The sequence below is a fragment of the Homo sapiens genome, chromosome 2, assembly GCF_000001405.40.
Source record: "Homo sapiens chromosome 2, GRCh38.p14 Primary Assembly".
Classification (NCBI taxonomy): domain Eukaryota; kingdom Metazoa; phylum Chordata; class Mammalia; order Primates; family Hominidae; genus Homo; species Homo sapiens.
Window position 1 is genome coordinate 109,092,503 of NC_000002.12, and position 14,759 is coordinate 109,107,261.

Sequence of the window (14,759 nt, forward strand, 5' to 3'; positions counted from 1 at the left end):
CACCTTGCAAAATTGAGAATCTTTTACCTACATTTCCATAAAACAGAAAAGGGTGATTTTCTTTTGTAAAGTGGCTTGAACCCTACAGCTATGGCACAGGGAGCAGGGTCATCAAAAGCCAGTCTGTTGTTCTGGAATCTACAGAGAAAGGGAACCTGGAAACCTGGTATGCCAACAAAAAGGGTAGGAAATTCTTGCCAGCCAAGTTTCTGGTTTCTCTCTCTCTGTCTGTGTAAATGTTAAACATTATGATTTGTTTCCTCTGCAAGGGTTTGATTAATAGAAAAAAGGATTTGTGTGACTAGTCTTAGGCTGTAGCAAATCTGCTGTACTTTGTGCTAAGAATTTGTCTTTCTGTGTTGTTCTGTAATGGAGAGAGGAGTATCACAGGATAGAACGTGGATTTAGGACCCCTATTAGGCTGCTTTTCAAGCTAGCCTGGCAGGCTGGTCAGTTACAAACTTTGCTATGGATCCCTGAAACCAATACCAGATGAGATTTCTCTGTCTTGTTTTGTATCCTTAACCTTGTGACCATGTGGGGATACTTCTTGGTTTCTGCCATCCAGAGGACAGCAATTTTGGGGTTCATGTCATAGTTAGCCCTAAAAGTTATCTTGAGCAGTTAAGAACCTTTGCAGGAATGAAATTGGCTGCCCTAGACTTCTTCTGGGAAGAGCAATAGAAACGGCTCAATGCTGTGTAGCTCAGTAGCTAAGGGTTTGTCTTTTCACAATGGTGGCCCAGGTTCAATTCTTGGCTTCTGGAGTGAATACTTTCTGGTTTGTTATTTATGTAACTTTGTCATTTATTAAGGTTCCCCACCCCCACAACCAAGAAATAACTTCTGATTCCTTGTCTTGGATAGATTTTCCTTTCTCTAAACCACGTTTGCGGAGATTTGTAAAAAAAAAAAAAAAAAAAGAAAGAAAAAAAAAGAAAAAAGCAAAGAAATAAACTGCTTACCATCACTTTGAGACACCTTATGTGTCCATGGGTAAGTTATCATATACCTTAGTTAAAACTTATTAATTTCATGTGGGAAGTTATCTGTGGTAGAATTTAAAAGCCAGAAATATTGGCTGTCCTGGCTAGAGTCTGGTAATAAGAGATTTAAAAAGATTTTTTTTTAAGAAAAAAGAGCTCTATGGTTAAAATCAGTTTAGTTAAAAACTGATATACAAGCTATATGTATTTAAAAGGCCTTTATATTTTTTCTCTTCTTGAATTGCATTTTTCTGAAAATATTTTTTCTTCTCAGTACACTGAATTGTTCTTCTCCGTTTTGTCTTCTTGCCACTCTTGATGCCCATATGAGAAAACCTAAGATAATTACTAACAGCCTGGGACTCCTGGGGAAAATCAGAGGCAGCACCACAAACCCCATTCTGGGAAAACCTCTGTTATTCTCACAGAAGCCCAGGAATTGAAAGAGAATATATCCCTCTCAAAATCTAAGGCTCTGTTCTGTTTTGCATTGTATTAGCTGACAGTTTTGACTTTTGTGGGTATCAGAAATTACTCCGCATTACGAGAGAAACTTAGTGTGTAATAACTAGTTAGGAAATATACTTTTGGGGATGGTTAATGGCAGTTATGGGGGGATACTCAGCTCTTTGATATTTCAGTTAGAGAAGCAAGCTCTTGGCCACCTAGAAAATATGGAAACATCCCCAGCCCCCAATGAGAGATGAGACTATCATGGGGGATGGGCTGATTACATAATGGGCTGATTGGCTTTGCGTTGCCTTGAAACAAAATGCATGATAGAAGCACTGCACTATCTTCTCCCGTAGTATTTCCCTCCTTTTTGGGGATCCGGTATTATGTATAAAAGGGCACCCTTAATTTTGGGGATCTTTCTTCCAGCTGTGCCTGCTTATTAGGCCCTAGAAACTGCATGCTTTCCTGGACCTGTTCCTCCAAGGGCTCCACCCTGAAGCCAGTAATCCAATTAAGAAACTGGCAAATGAGAAATCTTACAACTACTGGATCTTCTGAGTATTTATATGTGTTGTGTGTGTGATGTTTATATAAAAAAAGCTGGGCCAGGCGCAGTGGCTCACACCTGTGTTCTCAGCACTTTGGGAGGCTGAAGTGGGCAGATCACTTGAGGTCAGGAGTTCAAGACCAGCCTGGCCAACATGACGAAACCCTGTCTCTACTAAAAGTACAAAAATTAGCTAGGCATAGTGGTGGGTGCCTGCAATCCCAGCTATTCAGGAGGCTGAGGCAGGAGAATCACTTCAACTCGAGAGGTGGAGGTTGCGGTGAGCCGAGATCATGTCATTGCACTCCAGCCTGAGTGACAAGAGCAAGTCTCCATCTCAAACAAACAAACAAACAAACAAAAAAACAACTGATTAATTGGCTTGGAAAAATAAGCACTAAATCAAATATTTTGTCAGAAAAATAGAAATTTAATGTATTTTGTTCACGTGACTTTAGTAATCTTTTAAAAATACAGTTTTAAAGATTATTGGTAAAATAAAATGTCTTCGAAATGTAGAAATTTAGAAATGTTCTAAATTAAGGTCAGATATCAGATTTGCTAAATGCTTTAAGGTCATAAACTGCTTCCTTGACTTTTGAAAATTGTTCAATTTACCTACTTTGGAGCATTAGACTCTAGATAAGGCCTGGGAACATGTGGAGTTAGTCATTCCCCCGCTAGTTATGCTGGAAAGAGTCAGACCTTATCTTCACTTCGTCTGATAGCCTGGGCTCCACCCCTAGTACATAATTAAAATGGCTTACTTATCAGGTTTTTCACCAAAAATAAAAGTTGCTAAGAGTTACATTGTAACATATAATCGAGACTACTGGAGAAACAGTTTTACATACAATGTGTAGGGAAAATAGAATGTGTTTTTGGTAAAAGATTACAAGAAGGCATGGGAATATGATTTTTGTTAAAGGGAATGTAATTTTGTCTAATTCAGAGGGTTTTAAAAATTGTCTTAACCTAAAAGAGTAGTGGGACAAAACTGAAGGTTTAAGCAAGGTGAAAGGGGTTTGTGAAGGGTTGGTCTTGTAAAGAAAGTTCAAGACCAACTTGAGCAACGGTTGAGCAAGTTGGCTAAGATTTGAAGGGGATTATTTAATTCTGAACATTAAAATGAAAGCACACTAACATAGGGGGCCATAATTGGGGCCCATGTGTCCAAACAACAGGGGTTTCTTAGAAAATTCATCTGCTGTTTAACAGAAAATTGTAAAGGGTTCTAAAAGGTTTATGAAAATTTTACTTTATGGTCACACTAATTGAAACTGTATAGATTTATAAAATTTTATTTAAAAACTAGCCTTAGCATTAAAAAGGCACTAATGCAAAAATAAAATTTGGTTTTCTCTTTTGAAAATATTTTTATGTAATATTAAAAGATAATGAAAGGTTTTTGTTTGCTCCTTTGGGTAAATGGCAGGGAAAAACGGGAGGTGAGAGAAGAGACAGACTTTGTTGGCTTCATGCTGCCCTCATTGGGTCTTGTTGTTTGGAAAGCTGAGTCTCCTACCAGAGTAAAGGTTTTTCTTTTTTTAAAATTTTTGAGGTACCATTTTAACTAAATGAATGACTTACGGTGATGTGAGATTCTATTTTGTGATATCTAGTGTTTTACACCTCTGATATTTGATAAACCTTACAGGATCAAATTCTAAATTTAAAAAGTAATTGATTAGGTTCCCTAAAGTCCAAAAAGACATTAGGCTTATTTAATGTATCAAAACCATACAGGAAACATTATTGAATATAAGATGGTGTTTAACTTTCTTTGGGTTATATTCATATAAATATGTTATTAGTATGTGTTACAAAATTGTATAAGATTCCTATAATTCTAATATGGTTCAGTATATATTGTCAGTAAGAATTATAATTGTTATGTTAAATTATTGTGTGCCACAGAAGTAACAAATTTCCTTGTCAATTGTGTCTTTGACTGTGGCTGCCCTAAAATGTTTTTGTCATCCACAGACAATTGTTGTCCCATTTTGGTCCTCTTGAGAAGATGGTTTTATAATCAGTTACAAAACTTTTGACAGGTGCTCTTAAATGCAAGTTTCTGTTAACTTTGGAGATTATGACATTAGAATAAAGGAAAAAAACTGTCAGGACTCTCATGGAGAGCTGAAATGTTCATGAATATCAAGTAGAATAGGAGTTAAATGAATGGACTGAACTAATAGAAAATTGAACTAATATTTTTTTTGCTTTTTTTGCTCAAAATGCTGGCGATCCTTTTTTGTTTTCCAGAGCCAAGAAAACTTTTCTATTTACAGCTTTTTTTTTGGAAACGCTTTTTTTTTTTTTCAGACCCTACAGTTGATGGATCAGCTGGCACTACCCAGATTGATAAACTTGCTCATATGATCTTGTGGCCCCCATCCAGAAACTGGATGACTCTGCACGAGACTCAGCACAAGAAGACAGCTTTGACTCCCTGTGATTCCGTCTCTAACCAATCAGCACTCTTAGCTCACTGGCTTCCCCCCACCCACCAAATTATACATAAAAACTCTGGGCCAGGCACGGTGGCTCACGCCTGTAATCCCAGCACTTTCAGAGGCCGAGGTGGGCGGATCATGAGGTCAAGAGATCGAGACCATCCTGGCCAACATGGTGAAACCCCGTCTCTACTAAAACTACAAAAATTAGCTGGGCGTGGTGGCACGTGCCTGTAGTCCCAGCTACTTGGTAGGCTGAGGCAGGAGAATCGCTTGAACCCGGGAGGTGGAGGTTGCAGTGAGGTGAGATCGCGCCACTGCACTCCAGCCTGCTGACAGAGTGAGACTCCATCTCAAAAACAAAACAAAAAACAAAACAAAACAAAACAAAACAAAACAAAACAAAACAAAACCTCTGATCCCTGAATGTTCAGGGAGACTAGCTTGAGTAATAATAAAACTCCAGTGTCCTGCAAAAAAACAAACAAACAAAGAAGACCAAAAAAAAAAATCTGCTTATTCTAAGGTCAAGGAGATAGTCTTTCAGAAGCCTTATTGCTTGCCTTTCGTATTTAGAATTACAATCCATCTGAAATTTATTTTGTGTATAGTGTGACAGTTGAAAATATGTCATTGTGTTGTCTTTTGGCTACCATAGTTTCTTGACAAGAGGTCCATTATAGTCTTTTTTTTTTTTCCTATGTGTAATGTGTTTTTTTACTCAGGCTGCCTTGGAGATTTTCTCTTTGTCTTAGATTTTAATATATGTTTAAATATGATGTGCTTAGGGTGTGTGTGTGTGTGTGTGTGTGTGTGTGTGTGTGTCTTCACACTCCCACCCTGTCCCTGTAGGCCTGCTTGCTTCAAGGTGGTCGGGGACAGGCATGTTCCATGGTTCTGACTGAGATCTTAGGGATCCTGCCTGCCTTGGTTCTGGGTCCAGCATGTCTTCCTGTCTCACCACGGATGGAGGACTTTTTCCATTCCCTTGACCAGGCTGCAGTAGGGCTTCACCAGTACCATAAAGGCCACGGACTGTGTTGCCCTTCCCCTGGAAGGCAAAGCTTTTGCTCTGTGGCAGGAACAGGGTGAGGGAGCAGGGCAGGTTCTGGGCATTTCCCTTGGTGGCCGCATCACCAGGATCCCTTCCTCAGGACTCTATCACAGTTGTGTGAGCACCCAAGTGGAAGGAGGTGGAGAGAGCCTGCAAAGTAGGTCCAAATCCTTCCTAAATCTGCCTGCTCTGGCTAACCCACACTAAGCCTTGTTGGGCAAAAATTTTAGAAGGCCACTGTTTTGAACTAAACTCATGTACAAGTCCCCAGCAGTCCACGCTGAAAATCAACATGGAATCACTCATGCTAAAGCTCCATATCACCAAACCCAAACTAAGTTGTTATCTGACCCTCCAAGAAATTGGAGAGAGATAACAGCCAGTTTTCTGAATAAGCCAGTCTCAATCTCCAGTGGGTGTGACAATGAGGTTTCCTTTCCATTAATCCTCACACAAAAGAAGCAGAACCTGATGGTCACTGATTAGTTATTTTCCTATTGTCCTGACTCCCTGTTCTCCTTTTACAAGAAAAGTAGCTTTAAGATGACTGATACACTCTTTGTTCTTTGTTTCTGCTTTCTTCAACCCTTTGTCTGTTTATAAAACCAAACTCAGCTCATTGGAACACATCCTATTTCATGGAATGGAGTGTTGCCCAATCCTATAGTCACAATAAAGCCAATTGACACCTTGAAGTTAAATGTACTGTAATTTTGTCCTTTGCCCACTGTTAGCAATGCATCATGTATTTTAGCAGAATCCTTACCAGTATCCTGGGGCCTCTGACGCAGGTAAGCAAGTATCTGTGTCTGTCTGTCCTGGGAAGTGACTGTATTTCCTGTAATACCCGGTTATTTGGCTGCCCTCCAATCTCAAATCTCAGATGGGTTCAGGAAAAGTTGTGAAGTTGTAGATTGCTCTGAGTTTGTTTTGTTGTTGTCAACTGAAGAATCATGAGGTTCATACATTTGGAAAGGAGGGCTTTATTTCTCACAAAGGGTTGCAGCCTGCAGGCTAGCCACGCAGTAGGTTTGGAAGCATGGCCTCTGGCAGAGACCATAATAAGCAGGCACTTTGAGAAAGGAACGAGTGGAACAGGAATGTATACCCAACGGGTTGGCTAAGTGTACTTATTTATCAGGTTACAGGAGGAGCTATGAATATTCACAAGGTGGGGCGTGTGCATAGTTAAGAACACATGCGTGTTACATACATCCCATGTTCACTTTGGGCGGAGACTTAACACTCGATGCAGTAAACATTAACTTAATGTTTAAATGCAGTAAAATTAGGCTCTATATGTCAACAGGTAAAACAGAGGACAGAGGCATCCTGTGCTCAGTCTCTGTAAACCAGCCAGATCCAGTCCACTTCGGGTCGGTGGTCTCTTAGCAGAGGGAATGCTGGTCAGTTGTTGTGTAAATCAACAGTGGAGCAAGTCTCTCCAAAGGGCTGGGTTTGGTTTAACCCTTAGGAAGGGAAGTCTAATGGTGGTTAGCAAGGTGGCGTACAGCAAGGCGTGCTGACCTCCCTTCCTGTCCTGGCCCAGAACTCAGTTTTTAAGGTTTCTCTGAGGTCCCCTTGACAAGCGGGGGTCCATTCAGTTAGCTGAGAGCCTTGGGATTTTATTTTTATTTCTCACTGTTGTTGCTGTGGCTCTTATAAGGGGTGGAGGTGAGGGGTGGGGAGTGGGAAAACTGCTCTTTCCAGCCTCCTATATCCCTAGCGGAGCCAGGAGTCCACATCGTTTTTGCATACTTTTTCTTTTCTTTGAGTTTTAACTATCATTTTTGTTTTTTTAATCATACCTATTTTATATTCTTTTTCAGTTTGTCATCCTCTTAAGTACTGGGGGTTCTAAACCTGCTGTCTCCATGTGATCACTAAAACTCTTGGTGTTCATGGCGGGTCATCTATAACCACTTTGGTTTTCAGTTTCCACTTTATTCTTCAAATCTGATAATGTTTGTGATATTGTATCTAGATTTTCTAGAATTTATAGAGAGACAGTATTTCAGTAAAATAGATTATTCTATTGCAGAACCCAGAAGTCCCAGAAAATAGTGTTCAACCTATCAAGTGTGAGGGGAGATTAATAGATAATTAATAGATAGTTTACATCTCATGCATTCTTTCTTAGGAATTCTTGAGGATATTCTCTAACGCAGGGGTCCCCAGCTCCTGAGGCATGGGCCAGTACCAGTCTGTGGCCTGTTAGGAACCAGGCCACACAGCAGGAGGTAAATGGCAGGCAAGTGAGCATTACTGCCTGAGGTCTGCCTCCTGTTAGATCAGCAGGGCATTAGATTCTCATAGGAGTGTGAACCCTATTATGAGCTGTGCAAGCGAGGGATCTAGGTTGCAATCTCCTTATAAGAATCCAATGCCTGATGATCTGAGGTGGAACAGTTTCATCCTGAAACAATCCCCCAACCCCCATCTCAGTCCGTGGAAAAATTATCTTCCACAAAATTGGTCCCTGATGCCAAAAAGGTTAGGGGCCACTTCTCTAACCAGATGAGGGAATAAACCAAGAAAGAGGAAGGAAACAGGGGCTCTACCCCAGAAGAGCATTAAGAAGTCCAAAGGTGACGGTAGTGGACCCGCCTGGAGAGAAAGTCAGGGGCAATCTGAAGTAGGAATGGATGGTCTCCCCAGGGAGGTCTCTAGGGGAGAGGAAGGACCTCACAAATAAATTTTATGATATAGTGCTTGAAAAAGAATTGAAGTTATAATAAAGGCAAATAATGTAAGAAAAAGGGAGACAATAAGGACTTCCAGGGAAAAAAAAGAAGTCCAGAAATTCATGGTTTAAAGAAAAGGTAAGCACAAAGTAAGGCTGCTGACATCCAGCTCACAAGCCCAGAGCTTAACCCTGTTGCCAGTGTGGTTAGGAATGCAAGCAGAGATTTAAGTCAATTGTGCAATGTTATCCAGCTAACCAATTGAAGAACAAAAATCCAATGGTGCAATATCACGATGGGAGAAGAGGAAGTGAGGAGTGGCGGGGTTCAAGGGGTGGGTACTACACCCTTGTTATAATTTCAGGTAACTGCCTGGGTTCAGAGTCAAGAACTAGAGGTGAGTAGAAAGGGAAACAGACACAGTGGGAGTGGCCCGAGTGGGAGGCTGCAGGGAAGTGCAGGCTGCCACTTCCATACTAGGCGCTCTCTTGTAGTTCATGCATTGCCTTGGACGTATATTACTTTCATAAAAATAAAAATGTAGAAAAACCCCATAGTGGGCCGGGCGTGGTAGCTCATGCCTGTAATCCCAGCACTTTGAGAGACCGAGGCAGGCAGATCACGAGGTAAGGAGATCAAGACCATCCTGGCTAAGACGGTGAAACCCCCGTCTCTACTGAAAATACAAAAAATCAGACAGAGGTGGTGGCGGGCACCTGTAGTCCCAGCTACTCGGGAGGCTGAGGCAGGAGAATGGCGGGAACTCGGGAGGTGGAGCTTGTAGTTGAGCCGAGATCACCCCAATGCACTCCAGCCTGGGCTACAGAGCGAGACTCTGTCTCAAAAAAACAAAACAAAACAAAAAAACCCAAAAACAACAACAACAAAAACCCCATACTGTGCAATCCATCAACAGTATTCCCATAGTTACTGTGCATAACACAATGTTACAAAGATAAAGATCCAGAAGCAGAAATAGTGAAAACAAGAGAAGGAAGGAGAGATTTGTTGTGGAAGTAGGGTTGAGAAGATAAAAGGACAGAGCAACAGGAGGAAAGACAAGCCCTACTGGAGACTGCCGGAGAGAGCCGAGCAGGGGGTGATGCAGAGGATGGAGTTGCCTCAAATTCAGGGAAACACTTGGTTGCTTGAGTGTTTTAGGCGCTGGTGAGCCCAGTTTTATATCTGAAAGTGGATTCGATAAGTGCTTTCAGAGGCTGGAAGCCTGAGCAACCTGGATGCCCAGCCATCCTCTAGCTGGATGCTTGACAGCTCTCAGGTGGATCAGGGTGAAATCTCCATCTTCAGTTTCTAACGATCATAACAAAAATCCAAAAGGTGTATAAAGTAGCCTGCCCCCACTCCTGCAAAACCTTAGGAGTGGCACAATGTATATTTTTATTTTATTATTTTTATTTATTTTTTATTTTTTTGAGACAGAGTCTCGCTCTGTCGCCCAGGCTGGACTGCAGTGGCACAATCTTGGCTCACTGCAAGCTCCGCCTCCTGGGTTCACGCCATTCTCCTGCCTCAACATCCTGAGTAGCTGGGACTACAGGCGCCTGCCACCATGCCTGGCCAATTTTTTGTATTTTTAGTAGAGACGGGGTTTCACCGTGTTAGCCAGGATGGTCTTGATCTTCAGACCTCGTGATCCGCCTGCCTCGGCCTCCCAAAGTGCTGGGATTACAGGTGTGAGCCACCGCGCCCGGCTGCCCATGTATATTTTTAAAAGAATTCCGCTTCAAAAAAAAAAAAATGAAGAAAAGAAAAAAACTAAAATAAAAGCATCGCAGAATGTGTCTTAAAAGGAAAAATTCTGCCAAGTTCTCTTTAACCTTTAATCTCAAAATACTCAGATAATTTAATGAGGCGAGAATAGCACTTAGATATTTTTCTCCCTTGACATAACTCTTCGGTAGTTAGGAATAATAATATCAATGATCTAGAGCTATTTTTCTCAAAAGCCTATCATCTGTCAAAACGCATCTGGCAGAGCCTTGGGGGAGAGGGAGGATGAGGAAGGGAGAGGAAGGAGAGCCCCAGCCCATCAGCAGCCTAAGTGCAGGGTGTTCTACTCTCTGCTGTTTAAGAACTTTAAACTTCAGAAGAGGTGGCAAGTAGCAGAGAATAATGGGAGCTACTTAAGTACCTGCTGAGAGAACAAATGTATTGCTGTAAATTATTTAATGAATTGCTTTGTTCTAAGAAACGGCTTTGGGAAGTGGGGTGCTGCAAATGGGTGAGAGGAGCGGATTGCAACGCAGCTGAGAGTCTCATAAAACACTCAGGTCGCTTTAGTAAAGGGAAGGAGCAAGCAGGTGGCAGCAAACAGTGAGCTGCATAACTAAAGAAGAAGAAAGTAACATTTACTGAGCACCACGTGTGTGCAGCACTGTGCTTGGCTTAAGCAAGTGGCTCAGCTGTCTGCTCCCTGGCTGACGAGTCCCCTGGTGGGAGGAAAAAACATCAAAGTGGAAGGAAAGGCAGGCACCTTGAGTTCAGCCTCAGCTCTGCCCTAACGTTATAACTACCGTGATGGTGTTGATGAAAACAGTTGAACTCTGTAAAATATTTAAGGAGATTTATTCTGAGCCAAACATGAGGACCAAGACTTCTGACACAGCCTAAGGAGGTCCTGAGAACGTGTGCCCAATGTATACCTCATATGTATTGATTGATGCCTTATGTCTCCCTAAAATATATAAAACCAAGCTATAACCCATGGAGACATAAGACTTCAATCAATCCGTGTGAGGTATACATTCGGTCCTGAAAGGTGGGACAACTGGAAGGCGGGTGGGGTGGGGGCTCACAGGTGGATTCAAAGATTTTCTGATCAGCAGTTGGTTGAAAGAGTTATTATCTAAAGAGTTGAAGTCAGCAGAAAGAAATGCTTGGGGTTAAGATAAGGCGGCGGTTATGGAAGCCAAGCTTCTTGTTACATAGGTGAAATCTCTAGGTGAACTCCGTTAGAGGCAATAAATAGCAAATGTTTCCTGTTCAGACCTTTAAAAGGTGCTAGACTCTCAGCTAATCTCTTCAGGACTGCGAGGGCCTGGAAGGGGAAAGATCTAGTTATGTGAATAGAGATTCTTTTTCTTTTTCTTTTCTTTTTTTTTTTTTGAGATGGAGTCTTGCTCTGTCGCCCAGGCTGGAGTGCAGTGGCGCAATCTCAGCTCACTGCAAGCTCTGCCTCCTGAGTTCACACCATTCTCCTGCCTCAGCCTCCAAAGTAGCTGGGACTACAGGCGCCCGCCACCACACCCAGCTGATTTTTTGTATTTTTTAGTAGAGACAGGGTTTCACCATGTTAGCCAGGATGGTCTCCATCTCCTGACCTCATGATCCGCCCGCCTCGGCCTCCCGAAGTGCTGAGATTACAGGCATGAGCCACCATTTCGGCGAAGATTCTTTACAGATGAAAATTTTTCCCACAAGAGACAGCTTTGCAGGGTCGTTTCAAAATATGTCAAAGAAATATATTTGGGGGTAAAATGCTTTGATTTCCTTCAGGGCCTGCTATCTGTCATGTGATGTTATACCACAGTCATGCTGGAATTCAGTATCTTATTGCTACAAAATCTGTTGTGTCAGTCTTAGGATCTCTAGTTTAATGTTAATGCTGGTCATCTGTATGTATGCTCCAAAGGGAAGAGGGCATATAAGGAGGCATGTCTAATCTCCCTTCCCATCGTGGAATGAACAGTTTTTCAGGTTTCTTTGGGTCTTTTTGACCGAGAGAGGGGTCCGTTCAGCGGTTGAGGGGAGGGATTAGGTTTTTTTTTTGGTTGTTTTATGTTTCTTTTTTTTTTTGAGACGGAGTCTCGCTCTGTCGCCCAGGCTGGAGTGCAGTGGCGCAATCTCGGCTCACTGCAAGCTCCGCCTCCCGGGTTCGTGCCATTCTCCTGCCTCAGCCTCCTGAGTAGCTGGGACTGCAGGCGCCCGCCACCATGCCAGGCTAATTTTTGTATTTTTAGTAGAGACGGGGGTTTCACCTTGTTAGCCAGGATGGTCTTGATCTCCTGACCTCGTGATCCGCCCACCTCGGCCTCCCAAAGTGCTGGGATTACAGGCGTGAGCTACCGTGCCCAGCCGGGATTAGGTTTTTATTTTTGGTTTACAATGGTAACAGCAAACATCATGGTTATGCATATGGAAAGCTTGCTGTTGACTAGATACAGTTAAAAGTGCTTTGTGTACATCAACTCATCTAGGCTTCACAACTGCATGAGGGAGGCACTGTCATGACCCCGGTTTGCAGATGAAGGACCTGTAAACTACTGTTAGAGTAGGTAGCTAGGTAGACATGAGCAGGGCAGGAGAGGGTCCCCCCAACCCTGCCAAGGAATGTTGGTGGGTGACCATAAGGTGATGGTCAGGTAGTTGTTAAACTGTCTCTCTAAAACAATAATTGGTCGCAGCTGGCACCAGGGAAAGGCACTCTCCCAATGGATAGAAAACACCTGAAGCTGTGATCAAGCCACTTCCCAATAAGATTTCAAGAGTTGGGCAAGTGGACTCAAGCATGTGCATTAAGAGGCAAAACGGTGGAATTTAACCGATATATGACCTTCCTCTAGGAACACTTGACTGGGAAGGGAAAAGTGCCTCAAATGAGCATGCACACAACTTCAGTAAACACATTGCACATACGGCCCTTCCCAAGTGCTGGCAGGCCACTGTGCATGTGGACAACCTACCTCAAGGGAAGAATCAGGGGAGAAGCAATGCAAATCCTGGAATCATGCAATGTAGACAACCCCAAGTTGAGGGCCGAACAGCACACTTGGATCGCTTAGGTCACCTGTTTGACCACCTTCCAGGTATACTTTACTTCCTTTCATTCCTGCTCTAAAACTCTTTATTTTTTTTCCTTTTCTTTTTAAGATGAAGTCTTGCTCTGTTGCTCAGGCTGGAGTACAGTGGCGCAATCTCAGCTCACTGCAACCTCTGCCTCCCAGGTTCAAGCGATTCTCCTGCTTCAGCCTCCTGAGTAGCTGGGATTACAGGCATGCGCCACCACGCCCAGCTAATTTTTTTGTATTTTTAGTAGAGTCGGGGTGTCATCATGTTGGTCAGGCTGGTCTCGAACTCCTGACCTGATGATCCACCCATCTTGGCCTCCCAAAGTGCTGGGATTACAGGCGTGAGCCACCGCGCCTGGTCTTTTTTTTTTTTTTTTTGAAATGGAATCACGCTCTGTCGCCCAGGCTGGAGTGCAGTGGCACAGTCTCGGCTCACTGCAGCCTCTGCCTCCCAGGTTCAAGCAATTCTCCTGCCTCAGCCTCCTGAGTAGCTGGGACTACAAGCACGTGCCACCATGCCCGGCTAATTTTTTTTTTTTTTGTATTTTTAGTAGAGACGGGGTTTCACCGTGTTAGCTAAGATGGTCTAGATCTCCTGACCTCGTGGTCTGCCCGCCCCAGCTTCCCAAAGTGCTGGGATTACAGGTGTGAGCCACCATGCTCGGCCCTGCTCTAAAACTTTTTAATAAACTTTCTCTACTGCTCTAAAACTTGCTTCAATTTCTCTCACTCTGCCTTATGCCCCTTAGAGAAATTCTTCCCTTCAGGAGGCAAGAATCGAGTTGCTGCAGACCCATATGGATTTGCCACTACCAACACTACTAGCCATGAATATAAACAAGCCACCTCATTTCGTTTAAGAAATGTCCTGTGCCTTTGTATGAGATCAGATTTTGTACAAGATAAAACTGTGCATCACGATGCATCTAATCTAATCTTCCCAAGTGTCCTCCAACGAGTGGCCCACCTGGGAATTCATAACTACCTATATGGGGAGCATCTTCTCTCATGTGTCAACACAACCTGCAAAATTAGCCACTTTTTAAGAAAAAAGTAATCCTGGCCGGGTGCGGTGGCTCACACCTGTAATCTCAGCACTTTGGGAGGCTAAGATGGGTGGATCATGAGGTCAGGAGATCAAGACCATCCTGGCTGACACGGTGAAACCCCGTCTCTACCAAAAAATACAAAAAATTAGCCGGGCATGGTGGCGGGCGCCTGTAGTCCCAGCTACTCAGGAGGCTGAGGCAGGAGAATGGTGTGAATCCGGGAGGCAGAGCTTGCAGTGAGCCAAGATCGCACCACTGCACTCCATTCTGGGTGACAGAGCAAGACTCCGCCTCAGAAGAAAAAAGAAAAGAAGAGAAAAAAGTAATCCTAATCCCTTAGTGTTTTTTCCACACTGCTCCTGCTTATAACTAAAGTTTTGTGGGCCTTCTCCTTTTTTTTTTTTTTTTTTTTAAAGACAGAGTCTCGTTCTGTCACCCAGGCTAGAGTGCAATGCTGCAATCTCGGCTCACTGCAACCTCTGCCTCCTGGGTTCAAGCGATTCTTCTGCATCAGCCTCCCAAGTAGCTGGGATTACAGGCACCTGCCACCGTGCCCGGCTAGTTTTTGTATTTTTTTAGTGGAGATGGGGTTTCACCATGTGTTGGCGAGGCTGGACTTGAACTCCTGACCTCAGGTGATCCAAAGTGCTGGGATTATAGGCGTGAGCCACCGCACCCAGCCTTTTTTTTTTTTTTCAGCTGCCAAAGACTTCCAGAGT

General features: G+C 43.2%; 1 protein-coding gene across 1 annotated transcript in view, besides 1 other annotated feature; it reads left to right on the top strand.

The window, feature by feature from the left end:
* Nucleotides 1–14,759, top strand: part of RANBP2 (RAN binding protein 2) — a 1,122,820-nt gene that overhangs the window by 373,021 nt on the left and 735,040 nt on the right. The gene's annotated exons all lie outside the window — the stretch shown is intronic.
* Nucleotides 10,058–10,791: an enhancer, noted in NCBI's record as "OCT4-NANOG hESC enhancer chr2:109719016-109719749 (GRCh37/hg19 assembly coordinates)". NCBI's record gives its function as "activates a minimal SCP1, AML or CMV promoter by ChIP-STARR-seq in naive H9 embryonic stem cells {active_cell/tissue: H9 hESC(naive)}" and the evidence as "EXISTENCE:reporter gene assay evidence [ECO:0000049][PMID:30033119]".